At 36.9% G+C, this 23,622-nt stretch overlaps 1 protein-coding gene across 2 annotated transcripts in view; it reads right to left on the bottom strand.

Annotated features, from left to right (window-relative positions):
- Positions 1-23,622, bottom strand: part of DHX9 (DExH-box helicase 9) — a 48,636-nt gene that overhangs the window by 16,024 nt on the left and 8,990 nt on the right. Inside the window, exons 4-15 of one of the 2 annotated variants that reach the window (NR_033302.2) lie at positions 19,615-19,726; positions 18,541-18,653; positions 17,781-17,929; positions 16,246-16,382; positions 15,381-15,427; positions 13,719-13,855; positions 13,319-13,408; positions 13,065-13,226; positions 12,842-12,919; positions 11,775-11,966; positions 5,374-5,515; positions 4,916-4,998 (exon numbers count right to left, since the gene is read on the bottom strand). Coding sequence is in view for 1 of the 2 variants with exons in the window: in NM_001357.5 (NP_001348.2) it covers positions 4,916-4,998; positions 5,374-5,515; positions 11,775-11,966; positions 12,842-12,919; positions 13,065-13,226; positions 13,319-13,408; positions 13,719-13,855; positions 15,381-15,427; positions 17,781-17,929; positions 18,541-18,653; positions 19,615-19,726 (1,305 nt within the window). In the remaining variant the exon portion in view is untranslated. The remainder of the gene's footprint in view (positions 1-4,915; positions 4,999-5,373; positions 5,516-11,774; positions 11,967-12,841; positions 12,920-13,064; positions 13,227-13,318; positions 13,409-13,718; positions 13,856-15,380; positions 15,428-16,245; positions 16,383-17,780; positions 17,930-18,540; positions 18,654-19,614; positions 19,727-23,622) is intronic. The other variant, NM_001357.5, reaches the window with a different exon arrangement.

The raw sequence follows: 23,622 nt of genomic DNA, 5'->3' as shown, positions 1-23,622 counted from the left end.
GGCACATGCCTGTAATCCCAGGTACTCAGGAGACTGAGGCAGGATAATCACTTGAACCCAGGAAGGAGAGGCTGCAGTGAGCCGAGCCATGTTGGCCAGGCTGGTCTCAAACTCCTGGCCTCAAGTGATCCACCCGCCTCGGCCGACTATATTTTTAAATTTTACTTACTTTATGGGAATGCATATTTTATGTTGTCTTGGGATTTCCTTTTTTATATACAACAGCATTGCTAAGATTCATCCACACATTACTATACTCATCCTTTCTGATGACAGTTTACTGTCCCAGTGTATGAATATATCAGTTAATTCACTTACTCTTACACATATCTGGCTTCTTTTCAAGATTTACTAATGTGAACATTTGCTACTATGAGCATTCTTGTTCAAGTCTAAACAGGAGTGCTAAACATATCCAAGTTTCTGTAGGTTAAACATGGGTATGGAATTGCCAAGCTATAGGGTATGTAACTGCTGAACTTCGGAAGGTAATGCTTAACTATTTTTCTAAGTGGTACCATTATTTATATATCCCCATAAGCAGTGGATAAGGGATCCTGCTGATCCACATACTCTCCAACATTTTTAGTGTCACTTTTTATTAAATAAACAGATATAAAGCAGTGTCTTGTTGTGATCTAGATCTATACTTTCCTATTAGTCCCAATGAGATTGAGTATCTCCATGTTTATTAGCCAAATGTTTCCTCTTCTATAAAATGCCTGTATTTTTGATCATTTTTCTACTAAGTTGTTTACTTATCTTACTGATTTGTAGAAGTTGCTTATATATTCCTATACTAACATATTGGAATCTTTGAGCTTGTGGTTTTCCTTAAAGTAAGGAAATAACCTTTTGATTAAACAAATAACCTTAATTTTAATATAGAATAATATATTGATCTTTTATTTCAAGGTTAGTGCATTTCATGTTTTCAGCAATCCTTTCAGAAGGTCTAAGACTATGCTGCCCAATACAGTAGCATTAATCTGAATTGAGATGTACTCTGTATGTAAAACACACACCAAATTTTGAACACACCATAAGAAAAATAATGCAAAATATCTCAAATGTAACTTAAAATTAACTGCGTGTTGTAAATATTTTAGATATTCTGGGTTAAATATGTTTAATTTCACCTTTTCACCTTTTTAAATGTGTTACTAGAAAAATTTAAATTATCTATGTGGCTTACATATTTCTTTTGGACAGCACTGTCTAGACGATGCTTATTTATATTTTTATATTTTCTACTTCAGTGTATGAAAAACTCTTTCATGTGTCAACACGTTTAAAGTTCTCAATCTATATGGAATTGATTTTTGTACTTAGTTATGAGGTAGGGAACCGATTTCAACTACTTTGAAATAACCATTAGTTTCCAGTTCCATTTACTTAATTGCTCATTCCCTTTCTCACTAATCTGACATGCCACCGTCTCCTAACAATGTTGCATGTAACATATAACATACAATGTGCTTTTGTGCCCTGTCTTATCCCATCTGTCAACTCATGTACCTCACTGTCTCGATTATTTTAGCTTCAAAGCAAGTCTTGTTATCTGTAAACCAAGATTCTCTATTCTGCTCTTCTTTAGAAATACTGGCTATTTGGGGCCATAAATCTATCTTTTTAAGTATTTATAATCACCTCATCAAGTTATATGGAAAACCTTACTGGGATTTTAATTAGAATTGCATTCAAAATGTGGACCAACTTGAAAATAATTGATATGCTATTAAATCCTTCTACATATAAACATGGTCTTTTTTCAGTGTTTTGTGATAAAACTTATTTTTCTTGGAGAGATCTTGCATGTTTTTGTTTATTCTTAGGTACTAAATACTTTGACTACTGCAATGGTATCTTTTTTTGTTTTTCTAGTTATTTGTGTAAGTATAAAAAATGCAACTGCCTTCGGTATATTACCTTTTATCCAGCCAGACTGTTAAATTCTATTATTTGTAGTAATTGGTCTGTAAGTGCACTTGGGTTTTCTATGTAAGGTGACAGAACTAGGTAAGATTTATCTTGAAAGAGAACAAGAAAAGTTTCTGCAGGCTGGGCACAGTGGCTCATGCCTGTAAATCCCAGCACTTTGGCAGGCTGAGGCAGGCAGATCACCTGAGGTCAGGAGTTTGAGACCAGTTCGGCCAACATGGTGAAACCCTGTCTCTACTAAAAATACAAAAATTACCCAGGTGTGGTGGCAGGCGCCTACAATCCCAGCTACTCGTAGGAGAATCGCCTGAACTCAGGGGCGGAGGTTGCAGTGAGCTGAGATGCCGAAACTTCACTCTAGCCTGGGCGGAAGAGTGAAACTCCAAGACAAGACTGGACTGGACAAGACCAAACCAAACTGGACCAGACCAAACTAGACAACACTGGTCAGGACCAGATAAGACCGGTCAGGACTGGGCAAGACTGGACCAAACCAGACAAGACCTGTCAGGACCAGACAAGACCAGACCAAACCGCAGCAAACCGGGTAAGACTGGTCAGCATCAGATAAGACAGGACCAGACCAGGCCAAACCGGATAAGACTGGTCAGGACTGGCCCAAACCAGATAGGACAAGACCTATCCGGACTAGATTAGACCAGACAGGACTGGACAAGACCGGGCTGAACCAGATAAGACTGGTCAGGACCGGACCAGACTGGGCCGAACCGGATAAGACCGGTCAGGACTGGAGAAGACTGGACCAAACAATACCGGACAAGGTTTCACTGTGAATAGTACACAGACCTCAAGAGACCCATCCACCTCAGCCTCCCAAAGTGCTAGGATTACAGGCGTGAGCCACTGTGCCTGGCCCAGACTTACATCTTAAGTTGCTTAAGCTGACCAAAACTTACTGTTTTAGAAAAATACCAGCGATAATCCATGACATTATTCCAGTGTTTGGAATAATTTAAACCCTAAGAACATTGCTACATTAACAAGCAAAGATAATATCAAAACATTTGTCAATTAAGTTAATTAGGAAAAACCTATAAAGTTTCCAAGAGATTATAAAGGACAAAAGAGCAAAAATTTTGCCCTACTGAAAAGTTACATGATTTATAGTCATCATAAGCCATCCAAACCAGTCTTATTTGCTTTAGCTTAGTTTTGACAAAACTGAAGATGTTTAACAAAAACAGATATAAAAGTAAGAGGAGAAAATCTTTAAGAAATGCTTTGAGGCCAGGAAGGTGGATCACCTGAAGTTAGGAGTTTGAGACCAGCCTGGCCAACATGGTGAAATCCTCTCTCTACTAAAAATACAAAAAATTAGCCAGGACTGGTGGCAGGCACCTGTAATCCCAGCTACTTGGGAGGCTGAGGCAAGGAGAATGGCTTAAACCCGGGAGGCAGAAGTTGCAGTGAGCCGAGATCGCGCCATTGCACTCTAGCCTAGGTAACAAGGGCAAGACTCCTCAAAAAAAAAAAAAAGGAATTAAAATAAGTGTTAGATTATCATGAGATCTAAAATCCAAATTCTTTTATTAACCTTATTTTAAATTTTATTAAATAGCAAGTACATCAAATAATGTCACATTTCAAGCATAACAGTTAAATTTTTTTTTGACTGTTATGCTTGAAATTTGGAAATTCCCAATCCCTGGACACTACTGATTTTTGTCACCACAGATCAGATTTGCTTTTTTCTAAAATTTCATATGCATAAAATTATATGGTAGGTATGTCTCCTCTAGCTTCTTTCTTTTAGAATAATGTTTTAAAGTTTATCCATACTGATGGATGAATCAGTACTTTCTTTTTGTTGCTGAGTACTATTCAATTTTATGACTTATGATATTATGAAATATATATTTTGGTCTTTGACCCCCTTTCCTGGCATACAACTCCTAAAACACTTAGAAACTCTGAAGTGATGTCTTGTGTTTGCTAATGATTGACTGAACTTATGGCTGGTAACCCCTGGGTAACTTCAGGATGGGGGATGGGAGAAGAAAAAAGAAAAAAATAAAAACTAGAAATGCTTTGAGTTATGGTTGACAGTTTAAATAAGCATGCTGCCCATGCACTGAAACCTTTGAAAGTCACTATACTACTTAGCTTGGATATCATTTCATATCATTTAATTGCATAGCAAGTTGATTTTACACAGTTTTTTTGTCAAGGACCAAAAGAGGGAGGGGTTGGAAATAAATTCTAGTTTCTTCCTAATTTTTGGCATGATTCTCATTAACATCTGAAAAGATCAGAGCTGAAAACATCTAAAAGGACTCTTAATTATAAACATTATAGGTTGGGCACAATGGCTCATGCCTGTAATCCCAGCATTTTGGGAGGCTAAGGCAGGTGGATCACCTGAGGTCAGGAGTTCGACACCAGCCTGACCATCATGATGAAACCCAGTCTTTACTGAAAATACAAAAATCAGTCGGGCATGGTGGTGGGCACCTGCAGTCCCAGCTACTCAGGAGGCTGAGGCAGGAGAATTGCTTGAAAGCGGGAGGCGGAGGTTGCTGTGAGCTGAGATCGCGCCACTGCACTCCAGCCTGGGTGACAGAGCAAGACTCTGTCTCAAAAAAACAAAACAAAAAACGATTATAAAATCTATCATAAACTTCCAAATCAAAGAAAAACGAATCATAAAAATTCCATCAGCTATTTAGTCATAAACCATTAGTTCAATTGCTGAATTATGCCAGCTAATACTGATTACTGCAGTTATACTTTACAACATAGGTCTTCACCTCCAAAAGGCTTTCTGTAAAGTTTAACAATAAAGAAAAAAAAGATTGAATAATCTCACTAAAAAAAGATTTTCAACATCTTAGTGACTGAAGTTCATGGTTTTGATAATGATAAAAACGGGGGAAAGGGAAAACAAAGACATTCTACTGATTTCTCTTAGAAATAGCAGAATTAAGTACCTTACTGTACCTCTCAAGTTACTTACATTAATATCTCTTTCATGTATTTCATCTACAATTACATGACTGATTCCTCGAATGCCTGCTTCTAATTTTCTCAGGAGCACACCTTGAAAAGAAAAACAATCAATAAACTATAGAAAAGTTCAAAGTAGTAAATCTATGGACAATTATCTATATTTCAACTAAGAGACCCCAGCATCATTTTAGAAAATAATCACATGTACATTTAAACTATTAAAAAGTGATAGTGTACTATGAAATATAGTTTTTTTCACTGATTTTATGATTTCATTTTCTCTAAGCTACAAGATCTAATGGGTATATCATACTTTCCATGAAGGAAAAAACTGCCAAAAGTTTTATTTAAACAAGAAATCTGAGACTGGCTCATTATTTCTTTCCAGTCATTCTGTTCTGCTATCAAGTTTTCTTCACAACCACAATATAAACCCCAAATGAAAAATCAAAATACATTACTGACCTACAGTACAAAACATTATACTGGCATGAGGACGAGGAAGTATAGACTCAAATCGAACGCTGTAGCCACAGCTTTTTCCAGGCTCTTCTCCTCTTTCAAATGCAACTCGCTCTGCCACAGAAACCGCACTGATTCTTCTGGGCTGAGACAGAAAAAAAGAAAAGTGACTTAACAACTACAAAGTTAGATATACTTGTTTATTAGCATTTTTGGATTATTGTAGTAAATCTGTCCTACTGCTAGTTGAATAATTAACAGAAACAATAAATGTACAAAAAATACTATTTGGTTCTACGGCAGACACTTAAAAAATGTTTTTCATTTTGCATATAAAATGATTCTATAATTTGTCATTGCCGCCAACTCTTAAAATAGTATGCAAAGTGATTTTCCAGTAGGAAACAGGGCACAGCATACGTAGGGGGGTTTGTTTTTGTAACCGATCGCCACACTAAAAACAGTTTTAGAAAATTATTTAACTGAGACCTATGGGAATCAGGAAGGTGAACAACTGCCTTCTTTGCCATATGTACTGTGACCACCTTTCTGCTCACTTATTAATTCAGTAATCAAACATTCAATGCACTTTTGCATCAGGTGCCAGAGAAAGGAAACTGAAATCACTGTTTTTGATGAGCTCACATAGCAGGAAAAACTGTGTGTATTGCTATTTCCAACAATCAATCTGCAAAACTCTAAGGGGAATGCTATAGATTAATGTTTAAGTGTTGGATCTTTTTATGAAAACTCTTCTGAAGTGTTCCATGTCTTCTAAGTACAAAAACGATCTTTACTTGGTGGATACTATGAGGACATGCCTAATGTATAGCTACAGAGGTACACGAAGATTTATATACTGCATGCTTTTAAGGTGCCTTGGATTTGATTCTGTCTATAAGTTCCTGATGACAGGCTAGATTTCAGTTCCTTGCTTGTGTATACTATCACCTGGCTCATATTTATCCTGCCCATAAAGATAAAAGATTGAAAGCTACTTTGTTAAACATACTGTGTAGAATTTTGGTAGCTCTTACTGATCACTATCTTCTTTTTACTAAACAATCCTTTTAATAATCTTATTTAGCAATGGATAAGGATTTTTCCACCTATGTCACCATTTTCTTGAATTTCTCTGTATTTCATAGAAATTACCAAAGTTCTGAAGGTTCAACTCCTGTAAGTCAGATCAGCTGTTTAAATATCAACACATTATATATACACGCACTTTCATCCAGAGATTTAATTAGTGAGAATAAAATGAGATACAGACACAGTGCTCTGCACCTCAGTTACCCTGAAAAATAGCGTTACATGAAAGTATGAGCTCTGTATCTGTCCATCAAGAGAATTCTACATACTTGAGTTAAGGAATGTGAAAATGTTATTTCACTAAAGGTACAAAATGTAACCACCAAGTTTTCTGCGTCCTTTCCAAAAGTTGCTTGTATTCTACAACCTATCGTCCCCCTTTTCTACTACTGTCTTCCCTATAGTTTTTCTTTTTTTCTTTTCTAACACTTCTACTAACAGCTGGCTTCTAGAAAGACTTAAAATATTAGGATATTTGACTCTTCTGAGGTGTGTTCACATGCTACTGGTACTCAGAGATTGCTTTGTCACCTTGGGGTTATTTTCAAGTCTACGATCCTTGTGGTTTCCAGATCACTCCTAAACTGAATATGCGCAGGAGATGGTCAGTTTCTCAAGCAGTTATCTATTTTAGTTCTTAACTACCCATAAAACACAAACGTCTTAAATCCCAAGGAAGACATGATAGAGGTTTTAAATACTAATACAGGAGGTGCTAAGAAACCATGATCAGAAGCACTTTTTTGCTGAATTTCTCTAAGTACGACTAGAACATTAATATCATGACAACTATTTCAACAGCAAAGAAATAAATGACCCCGCAATCTCTTTCCCATATTTTATATGCTTCTCTGATTTACCAACTTCCAGTTTCCTCAATAGCCCTTGACTTAAACAAAAAACATTTAAAATACAAGTGTTTTTCATCCCTAGTTGATTTGACTAGAAATCTGTCATTTTTCTTCAGGGGAGTGTGGCAAAATGCACGAAAGTTAAAATATGCATACCCTCTGACCCAACAATTCTATGTCTAGGAATTTAATCCAATTGATCAAAGGCGTATACAAGTATGTTCATCCCAGCACACATATCAAAATATCAGAAAAAATCTTTAAGCCCGGTATGGTAGCTAGCCAGTGAATTCCAACATTTTGGGAGGCCAAGGCAGGAGGAATGCTGGAGGCAACGAGTTCAAGACCAGCCTGGGCAACACAGTGAGACACCATCTCTACAAAAATAAACATCAGTTAGGTCAGGTGATAGAGGCCTCTAGTCCCAGCTACTCAGGAGTCTGAGGCTGGCGGGTTGCTCAGCCCAGGAGTTTGAGGTTGCAGTGAGCAATGATGGTGTGTCCCTGTAATCCCAACAGAGTAAGACCCTGTCTCTCAAGAAACAAGAAATTCCTCTCAGGTTCAAGCGATCCTCCCACCTCAGCCTCCAAAGTACCTGGGACTACCCTGGGGTGCCATCACGCCTAATTAATTTTTGTAGAGATGGAGTTTCGCCATGTTGCCCAGGCTGGTCTTTAACTCCTGCACTCAAATAATCCACCTGTCTTGAACTCTCAAAGTGCTGTAATTACAGGCGTGAGCCACCAAGCCTGGCCTGGGTTTTGGATTTTTAAAAAATTATTCTATTCTTAAAATTTCCCCAAGGTGTATGTATTACTCTTGTAGTACACCAAAAGCAGTAAAAAAAAAAAATCTTCTAATTCTTAATTCTTAGCTCACTAGAAATATTCACAGGACAGGCATTTTGTGTGGGAAAACAATGCCTAACGTGAGCGTATCAATGACTATTTAAACCTTTCTCAGACTGCATGCCACTGTACAGCGTATGAAGATGCTCTACTTATCCCTTAAATAATCTATCACTTTTCCCTTGATCTTCTGTGCTTCAATAATTATTTTATATATTCTGCCACAGTGAATAAATACAAGGCAAGGCTCATAGGTAAAACAAGTTCTATCTATACCTGCACGGCCACTTCTATTATAAGGAATATATACATATTCTATATTACTCAAATATAAATAAGAACCAAGAACACAGAGACATCTAGAAATCGTATTTGTGTAATATAACAGTAAAAACCATGGCAGCAAATATGCCTTATTTATGCTTCAGAATACTAGTAAAATCTTTTCCTGCTGCATTCTAGTAGATTAAAAACACAAGTTCAAAAAGGTTATTTTGCCTAAGGACACATAAATGACTTAAGACTTCAAATTTCCTTTACTCCCAATATAATCCTTTCTCCAATTATTTTACTTTTTATTATTTTAACTATGTTACACTTGGATTACTAAATATGTTAAAAATAAAACAATAACCGACAAAAGTGAGACTAGTTAGAAAGTACCAGTGATGAAAGCAAAGGATAATATTTTTCCAACAGAAAGCTGGAAGAATAGTTCCAACTGTCCTCCAGATATGTGCTTTTAATTTTCATTGCATACATCTGCTTATCTCATTTTCTCTTTAGAATTTTACTACTCTTGCCTGGAGTCCAGCCATAGTAGTAGGTAATTTCAAGTGCTAACCTCTTCCCCACACTTCTGTCTGCTTTAACTGAAGTAGCTCTAATAATATGTACTAAGCAGTCACTGAAATTACTATGTACCAGGTACTGGGTAACTAACACTTTCTATACCATAAGAGGTTGGAGATCTCTCCCAAACTGTTATTTTGTAGTATTCTAGAATCCATACCTTTAATGTACACCTCTTGCCATTTACTCAGAACTACAGCAATTTCTTCCATCTTTCAAAACTGAAGTTCTAAAAGGTCCCAACTTTGCTTTTTCACATCTAAGCGTTATATACACAGTAACATGACTAAGCTGCCACAAAATGTCAAGATTCCTAATGCACTAGATACTACAAAATGTATCAGGCTCCACTATCTCTATCTTCTAAGGTTCTGAATTTATTTTATACAAAGAACCGTTCTTATCCTGAAATGATGGTACTATGGGGTAAGTACAGGATTGATAAAATTACATTAATATGCTTGATTTACATCCTACAATTACAATTCATCTCTTTCAAATAACTTTAAAGGTAGAAGACAACTATTTCCTACTTAAAATTTTCTGCATACAGCCCACAGGTTTTAAGTGGCTTGAGTATGGATAGACCGAAGGATAAAATTCAGTGAGTTTGGTTGAGAATTTACACTAAGGCTGATGTCATGGTTTGAGCTACTCATTCTGTTATACGCCAGTCCATAACTCTAAACTTGTGCTCTGTGAACTGAGATAATACACTTAAAATCAGGAACATAAAAAAACTTTCTAATACTTAACTGATGACTTCATGTGGTTTCCTATAGATGGCTACAAGTGCAAGATAATGGAAAAATGATTCAACAGTGGTAGTACTACAAAAATAACTAATGCTATCTCAGACTGTGCCAAAAGAAGTACAGTATATTAAAAACAAAAATAATAAAAAACTGTATTCTGTAATAACCAATCAGCATGCTCAGGCCTACTTTTCATATTACAGGTAGGTGCTGATGAATTTGAGTGTGTTTAAATCTTAGACTTACTGTACCTTCATGGCTGAACTATAAATGTTTAGTTGAGACTTTCAAACTAAGTACATACTAGGACACAATATAGGTTTTTAAAATTTTGAAGACTTGTTACAGGTAAGAGGTATGAGACTGATTTTGGGACAAACGCTAGGACAAAAACATGCAAGCCACAGAATGTAGATGCAATATGAGTTATAAGTAATTCACCCCAAATCAGAAGACACAGGTTTGCTAATACATTTCCATGCCACTGAACATTTTAAAAGACAGTGAGACAAAGCACTTCTCACTTGGGCAGGAATTTTTACTCTATTTATGACATGCAGACAACTTGAGACTCCTGTCTTCACAGCTCGCTTGTTAAATTCTGCTTCTTTCTGCTATATGCCACAACTGCTTTTGAGATTAGAAATGGATAGTGGTAGAAGGGAGAGGAAGGGAAGAGAAGAGCAGAGCAGAGCTGAGCTCAAGGCTTCTCTTCTGTAAAATTGCACTCTTGAACAATGTTCTTCCTGAAAGATGAGGTAAGAATTAAGAGTAAGAATATTTTATTGGAGTATGATGACATCTGGGGCTGCAGCCTTCACTGTAAGTCAAAAAATCCATAGCCAGTTTTAGGGGTGAGTCGGAAAATCAAAGAAAATTTTGTGAACAAGCTAGGAATCCTTTCCCAGAAAAATGTCAATTTATCATATTTTTTCAAGCCTAAGGTATCATCAGCCTTAGGATGCAACATGATTCCTTCACAGCAATTTTTTTTTTCAGGAGAAAACCCAATTCTCACATAAAATATACAATTATACTAATTATACAATTATACAAATATACTAATTATAAAAATGTATCTCAATTTCAGAAATGTTAAAAAGTTTCAGATATATGCTTTATACATGCAAATGTAAATGAACATGCACACATTTCAAAGTTTGTAACTCTCCTCTGAAAACTGATTATGTTTCCCAGGTTAAGCAACATTAACCCATCGGGGAAAAAATAATTTCTAAGTCAAGATGTAAGCCTACCTCAGAGGTAGTACCTGGCTATTTGCAATGCTCTCCCACAAAGTGCCAGAAGTACAGGGTAGAGCCAACGGAACTGTTTAACCTGAGAGCACTTAGAAGAGCTAATCAGTTCTTCCCTAAGTACTGGGACAAACATGCAGGCGCTGCTCATTGCTGGTAAGGTAATACAGTGTTAGTTAAAAGGAAGAATCCTAAAAGGCGGATTGCTTGGTTTTTTAATCCTAGTTCTACCACTTTCTGTGTTAACCTTGGGCATTTTACCTTCTTTATGCCTTAATTTACTGAAAGAGAAATACTATGTGAAATAGTACTTACATCTTAGGGTCATTATGAACTTCGATTGAGTTTTTTCTAAAAAGCTACTGCTTAGAATAGAACATGGCATACAGTGAAAGTTAACCATTACCTGTCTGACTGGTTTTTACTCAATATCAAGGTGGTTAGATAGAGATGACCAAGATTTGGATGAACTTTAGGACAAAGAATTCTTAATCTCGACAGTCTGATTCTAGGCCCAGAGACTCTTTAGCCCAGATAAAAAGAATCCCTCACATAGTCCAGTTTAGCTTATTAGTGTAGCATACTAGAGATTAGAAAAAGACTACGTTGTTTTTATGTTTTCTTTTTTTAAATTTAATTTCAAGGGCACAATGCTCTCTCAATCTTAAATAATTACAAAAATTAGTTAATCAAAGAAAGAATCAGAAATAGTCTGCTCTCTAGGTATTTCATGGTTGGTTTACCACTTACCTGAGTTACTACGATGTTACACTCTGCTGCTCGGTCATTCTGGATAAAGTCATCTAGAATGAACTGGGGAACCTGTGTGGTTTTCCCACATCCAGTAGCCCCTCTAATAATGACAACTGAATTTTGGCTGATTGCTTCCAGAATCTCACTTTCAAATTTCTTCACAGGCAGTAACTCTCTCTCCTGCAAGATCTGCATTAGAAAAGTCACACTTCAGTCAAATGTCTACCAACACATTAGAAGCAACTGTCTTGATCCTTTAAAAAACTTCCATCTCTATAGACTGGGCGCGGTGGCTCACGCCTGTAATCCCAGCACTTTGGGAGGCTGAGGATCATGAGGTGAGGAGTTCGAGACCAGCCTAGCCAACATGGTGAAACCCCATCTCTACTAAAAATACAAAAATTAGCCAGGTGTGGTGGGGTGTGCCTGTAATCCCACCTACTTGGGACGCTGAGGCAGGAGAATTGCTTGAACCAAGGAGGCGGAGGGTGCAGTGAGCCGAGACTGAGCCACTGTACTCCAGCCTGGGCAACTAAGCGAGACTTTGTCTCAAGAAAAAAACAAACAAAAAAACCAAACTTCCATCTCTATAAAAACTTACTCATTTCCATTGGCTTAGTGATGAAAATGTTTTTTTCAAAAAAGAATGTGTATATTTATATCTCTAATAGAACTACTTCTTTTCACTACACTTCTGAAGAATGTATCTTTTGATGTTGTCCAAAAACTAAATTCTCATTGTCCCTGAAAGTCGCACACGCATTCTTTTTAACATTTTAATTTTTTATTTGGAAAACACTAAAACAAACAAAAAAACCAACAACAAAAGGAGTCACTGCCTTAAATCTCTCCACTTTTATTAAATTACATTAAGAAGTGAAATTCTCTCACAGGCCCTCAACTCATAGCAACTAACTTCAGGGGTAACTAGGATTAGCAGTTTGGTACATATCTTTTGATATGCCCTCCTTAAAAGGGCAAAATGTACTGCTCATTGACTTTTTACCCATACCTAGAACATTCTGAAGCTCTGAGCACTACTTGTCTAAATAATTCAGACTTACTGCTTGCAAATCATGATCCTGTTCCAACTGGTACATCAATTCATTCTTGAGGTCCATGCTTATTTGCTCTGGAGTAGCCTGTAAAACAAAAAGCCAACATAGTCAAACAAAAGCACATAATTCAGCTTCAAAATAAATCCATTTTTTACCTAGACATACTAATCAAATATAGTCTCAAGAGTAAAACACAAGACTCTGATCTCAAAAACAATATTGCACTCACAAAAGCCAGAGGCCCCTCATCAATGTTGCTACTAGTCCAAGGATTCCAGTTGGATTGTGGAGGTGACCAAGGAACCACACCCACTTGGTTTTGTCGCTGAGATGGTTCGAACTGAGCCAATTTGCCAATGTTGAGTGCAACTGGCACAGAAGGATCTTCAGGCTATTAAAAAATAAGAAAAACAAACAAAAAATATGATTTGCTTGTCTACGGAGAGTTCTACGTAAATGTGAACTAAACAGCTTTATGCTTACCGGGGGCAAAATCTCAAGATTTAGCTCTTGAATGATGTTTTGCAGCTGATGCTCTAAATCTTGAGAGAGGTTTACTTTGTAAGGCTCCACCTATGGAAAAAGGATCACACATTAACAACACTACTCAAATCTACTATAATGGGGCTAAGACTATACAGTCAACACTAGGTCTACAATATTCCTAAACCAATAGTCAGTTCCCTTTTGTGAGAGAATTACTTCAATGATTATTTACTCACTGCCTATTATGAACATCATGCCAGACACAGAGATGATTAGCAGGGCCATTTTCATTTCCTGAGGTAAGATTCTTAAAATTAAACTTCTTCAGCCAAACACTAAACAAGAGCTAAATTGAATCTCACACTATCTCACAAGTCTATTAAATCTAAAGACTCACTGTCTCTCCTTCCTTCTTCTTTGTAAGTCCGGAGTAAGCTTCAACCACTCCAAGATGGTACAGTTGTCTGACAAGTGACAGGGCACAGGACTGTGCTGCCAATTTCTTATTTGATCCATGTTCTCGTGCAAAAATCCCTATAATGTAAGGTCAGGATTATCAGACAGAAAGAAATCATCTGAGTAAAGAAACATCTTATCACAAGAAACTATGGGCTTACGTACACAAGAAGCCCTAAAATACAGGGTATGCCATGGCTTCTAGTTCCTTTTTATTCTATTAATATCTGCTAAACAAAAGAAATTGCCAAACAGCTTATCAACTAAATAACCAACAGTTTTGATTACTGGCTGATACTAGGACTCATACAAATCAATATTATGAAAGCAAATAACCTATTTCAACAAAGTTGTCACTGTTAATATCAGACATTAAAATGGGGAAGAAAACATAGTTTGAAAAGACAAAGAGTAAAAAATAAACCAGTAAAAGTAATTGGGTCCAGAGTGGTTACCTAGACCAGGATTTGGGAAACTTTTTCTATAAACGGTCAATTAATAAATATTTTAGGCTTTGCAGGCCATATAGTATCTTGTCACAACTACTCAACTCTGCCTTTAATGTGTGAAAGCAGTCACTGACAACAGAGTTTGATAAACCATAGGACTGGGAATGGCTTTACGTTTTTCAAGAGTTGTAAAAATAAAATGAGAATAACAATGTGTGACCTGTAAAGTCTAAAATGTGAGTGTAGCTATGTTACAATAAAACAGTTCTTATAAAAACAGGCAGTACGCTGGATCTGGCCAGAGGGCTATAGTTTGCTGACCTTAGCATTAAACTAAAGCTAAGTTACTCATATCCTTATAGAAAATATTAACAGAAAGTTTCCTCTCCTCCTGTATCATTCATCCTTAGGAGAGATGAATATAAAGCAAAGGGGTACAAAGGTATCTTTCTGCCTAACTAGCCAAATTAACCTCGATAAGGTAAGTGAGCTGACAGAAGTTAGCCTGCCTTTATCCTCTCTCCCTTAGTATTATCCATCCACTCAAAATAACTCATTGTATATATAAAAATGAAAAAATGTTTAAGACCAGGCACAGTGGCTCACGCCTGTAATCCCAGCACTTTGGGAGGCTGAGCCAGGCAGATCACTAGGTCAGGAGATAGAGACCATCTGCTAACATGGTGAAACCCCGTCTCCACTAAAAACAAAAAATAATCAGCCGGGCTTGGTGGCAGCACCTGTAGTCCCAGCTACTGGGGAGGCTGAGGCAGGAGAATGGCGTGAACCTGGGAGGCGGAGCTTGCAGTGAGCCGAGATCACACCACTGCACTCCAGCCTGGGCGACAGAGCAAGACTCCGTCTCAAAAAACAAAAAAGGTTTAAAATTAATTGACACTGGCAGACTCCTAATCATCCCACTGTGTCTTACCTTTGAAAGATTACACTAACATGGTCTGTTTTCACATGCAAACTGGGAGACTTTGCCTCTAATTTATATAATTACTAATATTCTAAAATATACCCTAGATGCTATCTTACATTATGTGCTCTTTCAAATAATACAGCTTCTGTATACGTGACTCAAGACTTAAAATGTGAAGATTCCTTCTCTATACAGAGACTTGGAATATTGGGGAAACAGTAACACTTACTTCTGCCCAGCTGCTTGATATAAATGGTCATTTCTGCAATAAAGCTCCTGTAACAACATATACAAGCAAGGTTAGAAATTTCACTGTTAGAAACCAGCAAATCCAGGTCTCCCAAGTCAGGCAGGCTTTCCAACTGCTTAGGCAAATCACAGAAAAAAAAAATTACCAACATTTATTTCTGCCCAACCCTAGAACAAATGAAGTATATAAACTTCAAATAATATACAACATGGCATAAGACAACTATAATCAAAGTTGATGAGCCAATTGTTCATGAAAGGAAAACGTTAGGGTATTAGATTTTATATTTACTTACTCTTATTCCAAAGGCTGGAGTCTCAAGAGCTAGAACACATTCAATGAAAAGGAATTTTCCACTTAGCTTGGAGCCAAGAAATAAAGTAGGCCCCAAATGTTTTACATTACGGTTATAATTATTTTAAGATTCCTTTGCATAGGCCACCCATTAATGACTGCGATCTATTAAGCTAATATACGCAAACTCACACATGCACATACACTTTGTGCATATCAGTGGCTCCTGAGGCAGAGTTCTCACATCTGCCTGCAGTTGGAAGCAGCCCTGGATGACAAAAAACTTAGCCTATTTTTATCACATTTATTTAAATCAGGTCCTGGAGAACAAAACACATGTTGTAACATTATATCTAAAACTGCTAGCAGAGTCTAAAAAATGAATTTAGGTTTTAGCAAGGGAAAAACTGCCCTTTGATAACTATGCATTCTGGTCCTTTCACTGCTCAGATACATTCTAACCTAGACTTGGTGGTGTGAATAAAAGGCTAGGTGAGGCTTAAGAAAAAAATAAATGTTAGACTCCTTCCTATACCTCGTGTGAACTGACCTTCAGGCACAGCGGCTTCAGGGGTCAAAGGCCACTGGCTTTCAGGGGAACAACATCCACCCTTTCATTAATGACATCGATGCCAGTATGTTTCTCAGCCAGGCTTAAAGTCAGCACTCAATCTCATTCTCCTCCACCTAGGGGGAACAGCGACACCAGAAATCAGTTTACAATAGTTTCCCATGTGATTGCTTAGTTCAGCCTAAGCAGCAGCACATGTGTGTATGAACACAGACCTCTGGTGTTGCTGTCTGTTATGCCTTTAAATAAAAGGACATACAAAGAGCAATGCTGTCCTGGCTCCCCCAACTGTCTGTGCCTCCCACATTGTCTTTTCCTGAATTCTTCACTGCTTTGTATCAGAAATCTATGATAAGATACTGATAACAAAAAATGTCTGCAACGATGAGCTTCAGGCACACTTCGGTATCTCATTGTTCTTAAAGTCACCAAGTGCTACCAAGCCCAATGCGTTCAGAAAGACAAAATATGAAAGAAAACAAATCATCAACAAATGTATCACTCCTTTGCAACCTGACGGTTTTAAAAAGGCTGACACCAGAAATATCTGAGAATTCAGGATTGAACAAAACAGTGGGAGGAAGGGGGAACCATGCTCTAAATATCATTTTGATCAGTGACAAAATTTTGTATTAATATTAATTATTTCAGGGTCGCTAGATGCATCCAATGGAGAACACTTTGATTTTCGAGAAAAATATTTTTAATGTATTTGGATAATTTATTTCATAAGTACGGACAGCAAACGGAATCATTCAAAAAGGTTTCCATTACAACCTCCCCTCCGTTCTAATAAAAATACATCGCTCCCCAGAAAAGTCTAATCCATATGAGCCTTCCTGGGAGTAATAATTACTACACCCTGGAATGCTCTCAGGAAGAACAGCAAGCAGGCTGAGAAACATACTGTTAAAATGACCTCCCTTTATATTGTTTTATACATTTAACAGGAAAAAAGTACACCCCCACATACAAAGACCAAGGCTGTTCCTTTTCGACCTTACGATAAGCCCTTAAATTTCACTAGGACTCCTAGGAAAGCTGGCAGTTTTCAAGGCTTAAGTGAAATGTGGATGTAGATGCAATACAATCTAATTCTGGGACTCAAAGCTTAAGTATCTAACCTGACCCATTAAAGAAATAGTAACTGCCTCTAACAATACCAAGGTGAAAAAAAAAATCACCACCTTTGGCTGGCTTTTACATCAACTAGGGACAAACCAGCAATTGTGGTCATGACTTTTGCCTTTCAGATTCAAATGAGCATCTTAAATGTCTAGCATGTCAAAAAGATTTACGCTGAACTTCTTACACAGCTAAAATTCACTCATGTGAAAACCATGGAAACTGCACAAATCAATAATTATTCTTGTGCAAATTAACGTTATCTTTTAACAATTCAATTCTAATCCACACAATTAACCAGACAACGTACAAAAATAGATTATATTCAACAGTGAATATCCAAAACCACCTTAACTTACTACAGAAGGAAAAGAATGAAACAAGCAAACCTGTTGTGATCAGGACCCACTTGGGTGTACTTATATTCTCCTTGGATCTTTTCTTTCTGAAAATATTGGTTTAGACGAGCTTTAGCATTTTCCAAGGTCCAGTTTCCATGAAGCCCAGCATTTAAATCCACTTCTTCTGATTCTAGAGTCTGTAGAATCAATGATAATTAAATTTGGCTGTGTTAAGTTTAGGTATACAAACAAGGCACAGAAATTTTTAATACTGTCTTTGTACTATCCTTTATAATGCAAAAGCTGTTTTTGATAGTTTATAATCCTAGTCAAAAACTGAACCAGAATTACTTTTTATTGCATCTAAAGGCCCTATTATATAAACAAGCTATTAGTTAATACATTGCATTTAAATTCTTCCAAAAAAAAAAAATGACAACTTCTTTGTGCTTGTTTTAACACTGAATACATGAAGTGGAAAAATAAGCTATACTAAAGACTTTTTTTTACTCTAAGTGCTCATAAAATAAGGTCCCCTGAGATAATTACATTTCCTATAAAGCTGAAGAGGAGATCTTTTTATTACTACCAAGAAAAAAATACTGTTTTTTTCCTCCATAGGCAATGTGAATAACAAGAGTAAATGGGTAGTTTAGCTTTATGATGACTTGTGCTAATAAGTAGTCTCAAATAACCTCTTAAAAGATGCACCCAATTATTAACTTGTGAATATCCTAATCCTAAGCTTTGCTGTTAACTAAGTCCCAAATCACATTCTCAGAGATGTAACCTACGGTGCTGGCCTTACCGCTTGCACTTCTTGTTCTTCCTTTCTTGAGTAGTAATCCTTCAAGTTGGCTCCTCGGTCCCAGGTGGGCCCAGGAACACCATAGCCAGAGGCCCCTACCTCAGAATTATTTTCTGTTAAAAGAAAAAAAATTCTCTTAATGAGTCATAACTGTAGAAAAATCCTAAATACATTAAAGAATTATCCTAATTTATGGCCGGGCATGGAGGCTCACATCTGTAATCCCAGCACTTCCGGACGCTGAGGTGGGTATCACGTGTGGTCAGGAGTTTGAGACCAGCCTGGTCAACATAGTGAAACCCCGTCTCTACTAAAAATACAAAAATTAGCCGGGCATGGTGGCATATGCCTGTAATCCCAGCTACTAGAGAGGCTGAGGTGAGAGAATCACTTGAACCTGGGAGGTGGAGGTTGCAGTGAGCCAAGATTGCACCACTGCACTCCAGTCTGGGTGACAGAGCAAGACTCTGCCTCAAAAAGCAATCATATGAAGTAGATACTACTGCTATTCAATAAACAGTAAATATGAGACTTAAGCAATATGACCCAAATCCTAATCTACCATATGGTAGACATCCCAATAAAAGCTGTGACTATACAGTAAATCCTCAATTAATGTCGCTGCTAGGTTCTTGGAAACGAAGACTATAAGCAATGTTGTAAGATAATAACATTGAAGGAAACAAAGTTATTCAAGGACCTACTGTAAGTCATTCTGCAATGGCCTGGATCCACAGGGTAAACAAACAAGTCAACAATATATTTAGTAAGAATAAGGAACAAGAAAAGGCAATTCATAAGATTCTTTCACCAAATATTCTAGCCTGTGGAAAACCTATTTATTCAGAGAAAAATGTAGTAAAAGCCAATGACAGCAAAGAACTATGCTGTACCACATGTTCTAAGAAAAAAATAAATGATCTGGTAATATGTGCAAATTTATGAAGGCCTTGGGTTGTCTCTTAACATCAAGAGTTTACTGCAGTTCTTTCTACCCAAAACGAGAAACAGAGATGGTGATCAAGATTGTGTATATCTTATTCTCCACCACGTGCATGGATTCAAGTCCCTTACCTGCTTTGAGAGCCAGATGTGGAGGAAGAGGTCCTCCCATGGTTGTTGGTAAATCTCCTTCAGCATTTGCTGTAGTGTCAGGAGTATCAGTAAGTGGGGGCGGAGATGCTACCTGCAAAAGAAAAAGTCAAGGCAGCTGTCAGTGCTTTTGCCTTCACGGGGACTAGTAAATTCTTTTAATACTTAAAAGGACCCATGTGTCATACCTCCTTTCTTTGTAATATTACCATCTTTGTTTAGAGGTTAAGTCTCTAGAGCAGTGCATCTCAAAATGTCTGCAATGAAGAACTGGTTGTTTCCCCTAATCCACTGGGAACAACCTGTCACAATACTGTATTTCTAAATGTTTACTCATTTCTGTACTTACCTCCTCACAAACTGTAACATTTTGAGTAACACTGCTCTGGGGCTCATTTTTAGTAGTGTTTACTACCTTAACACCTTTTAAAGCAGTCAAAAAAGTATCTTTCTACTCCATTTCTTAAGTATTTTATTGGTCATTAGTGTTTAATTTTATCAAATACTTTTTCAAAAGCCTTTATTAAGATGATCACGGAATAGATATTTTTCTCTTATAAGATCATTAGTACTACGTATTAAGAAAGTTTAATTACAGGGTTTTGCCTCAGATGTGCTGTTACATAAAATATATTGGTTTTCTAAACTAAGGAAAATTCTGAATTCTTAAACCCATCTAACCACATGGGTTTTAGGATGAAGAACTGAGATCTATACAACCTTTTCCTTAACTAGATGGGATGAACTATTTCTGTTTGCAAAGAACATTTAAAAATTTGACTTATTTTTACTTTCTAATTCAGCAATTTCTGATTTTATCGCTATTAATTTCTCCTGTTTCATTCTGAGATGAAAGCTAATTCATTCAAAAAGCTGTTTTTTGTGCAATAGTATAACTATTATTATTTTGAATAAATGATTGTTCCTCTGACCACTCCAGAGTTTTGCCAGACACTTATCTAAATAGTCTATGATCATAATTTAAAATTTTCACTTAGATCTAAATTCAAATTTCCAATTGTCTCTTAGGGTTTTTTGGGCGCTTTGTTACTTTTTCACATTACCACTTTGCTTCTGCCAATATATATAGCAACATGTCTAATGTTGTGTTATTAGTACATTGTGAATTTTTTTCTTTTCTGCTTTCTTCTAGAGAGCTTATACCTTGAAGGATAGTGTTCCTCCAAGGTTGGGGTTATGGAGACAAAGTAGAACCTATTCAAGGGTCAGCCCTAATAACCAAGGCACAGGAAAAATTCACTGGGCAGTCCTGGCACCACAATGCTAACTTGTCCTCCTCTTTCTACCACCTTGCCACTCCAGGACCTCAAATTCCCCTCCACCTCACTCTCTATCTACACCAACCTAAAAGAAAATTCCTAACGTATGAGAATTGAGGTGTCTGATGTAACTTCTATTTTCCAGTGATGGGGAGGATTTCCTTTTTTAACATTTCAAAATCAATTAAAATAGGTGAGGTATAAGAGTATTGAAAGTGTCACAGTGCATAATCTTGGCTCTGCCTAAGGAAGAGTCAGCAATGTGAGAAAATACTTTTTCAAGTAGGTTATAAAATAGTATACACAATATATATTTTATCACATTAAAATACACATGTAACTATCTAAACAAAAATACACAGATTTTAGCAACATTGGCAATGCTATAGTCCATTTATTTCTTTTTCTATTCTCACAATCTGTTCCCATTTAAAACCTTTTTTTTTTTTTTTGAGACAGGGTCTCACTGCATCACCCAGGCTGGAGTGCAATGGTGCAATGACAGATCACTGCAGCCCCAACCTGTTGGGCTCAAGTGATCCTCCCACTTCAGCCTCTCGAGTAGATGGGACTACGGGCAGCCACCACCATTCCCACCTAATATTTCTATTTTATTTTTGTAGAGATGGGGTCTATGTTGCTGAGGCTGGTCTTGAACTTCTGGACTCAAGAGATCCTCCTGCCTCTATCTCCCGAAGTGTTGGTATTACAGGTGTGAGCCACCACGCCATTTTTCTTTTTTTTGAGACAGGGTCTGGCTCTGTCACCAAGGCTGGATGATTTAGCCTAGATAATAGTCAAGTACTGATGCATTCATTACAAAAAGACACAAGTATCTGACAGAATACCCAAGCTTGGAGTAGTATTATGTATGAATACTTAATACTTAAGGATATGGTTCCACACTCTACCAAGAGGAAGGTTAAAAAAAATTAAGGAGCAGTCAGAGACAGAAAGATAATTAGAGAATCCAGTGCCAGAGAAGACAGAAAAATTTTGATGGGTTGGAGGATGTTATCAATAAAGCTGAACGCTGATGAAATTAAAAAAAAAAGGGGGGGGGGTACGTGTGTACACTTTACAATGAACCAGTTTTTTTGATATGGCAAAAAACACAAGTAAAAATAAAGTTATAATGGGCAAACTGAGAAAAAATATTTGTGACACATCACAGGTAAGGAGTTAATATTGCTAATATATTAACAAACACAGAGGAAAAGACCAAGAATCCAATTAAAAAAAAAGGGAAGATATATGTAGAGGCAGTACAGAGAAATATATATGTAAATGATCCTTAAAGCCCAAAAGATGTTTGACTTCACTCATAATTTTAAAAAGCAAATTAAAAGAATACTAAGGTATCTAAAACCAGTGGTGAGGTTACAGACCAATGTTTCTCAACATTAGCACCACTGACATTTCAACCAGGTAATTATTTGTTGCAGAAAGCTGTTCTGAATACCATAGTTTTTAACATCCTTGGCTTCCACCCACTAGACGCCATCAACACACCTCCTTCAAGTTCAAACATCTCCAGACATTACCAAATCAGGAAAATGTAAACATTAATTGGATATCTCATTATATTGACACTATTCTTAAATTTTTCTTTTAGGTTTGATTATAATACTTTTTTTAAAAAAAGAATTATGTTTTAGTTAAAAACTGAAATATTAACAGATGAATAAGATGTCTGGGATGCTCCAAAATAATCTAAGAAAGGGGAGTAGTTAGAAATGAGTAAAATTGAAAGTGTTGCAGCCAGATGACGGAAACATGGAGTTTCACTATATTATTCTTTTATACACATCTACAATTGTCCACAGCAAAAAAAATTTTAAAATATCCTCTACATGCTCACTTTTGGCAAATGCAATTTATGGCATGAAAGGGTAAGTTCCAGATGAAATAAGTGATTATGAAAAAGGATTTCCCTAGAATGAGGAGGTAAGATAAAGATGGTAGCTGGTAACAGTTTGGTTACGTATCGCTGCCCAAATGTCATGTCAAATTTTAATCCTCAATGTTGGAGGTAGGGCCTGGTGAGAAGTAACTGGATCATGAGGTGGGTTTCTCATGCATGGTTTAGTACCACTTTCCTTGGTACTGCTATCCTAGCAACAGTGAGTGAGTTCTCATGAGATCTGGTCATTTAAAAGTGTGTGGCATCTTCCCCTTTACTTTCTCTTGCTCCTGCTATGTAGGACATCCCTGCTTCCCCTTCACCTTCTGCCATCATTCTAAGTTTACTGAGGCCTCTTCAGAAGTCAAGCAGATTCCAGTACCACACTTCCTGTAAAGCCTGCATAATTGTGAGCCAATTAAATCTCTTTTCTTTATAAATTATGCAGTCTCAGGTATTTTATAGCAATGCAAGAATGGACTAATAATACAGTGGGGTTAAAAGTAGAAATGGGTTGTTATAATTTTTTTTTCCAAATTCATCCATTCATTTACTCAGTCAACCAAAAAACATTTAAGTATCTGCTATAGACCAGGAACCATTCTAAATGTTGGAGACACAGCAACGAACTAAAAACAAAAAAATCCCTGCCCTCACGAACTTACATTCTAATACAATGAAACAAAAATAAATTACGTTGGAACAAGGTTTCTCATCTTGGTGACATTTTAGGCTGGTTAATTCTTTGTTGTAGGAGTTTGTCAAGTGCATTGTAGGTCATTAGCAGCATCCCTGGCCTTCACCTTC

Source organism: Homo sapiens, chromosome 1, assembly GCF_000001405.40.
Source record: "Homo sapiens chromosome 1, GRCh38.p14 Primary Assembly".
Taxonomy (NCBI): Eukaryota; Metazoa; Chordata; class Mammalia; order Primates; family Hominidae; genus Homo; species Homo sapiens.
The sequence above is the reverse complement of the archived record's forward strand: the minus strand, read 5'-3'. Positions and strand labels throughout refer to the sequence as shown.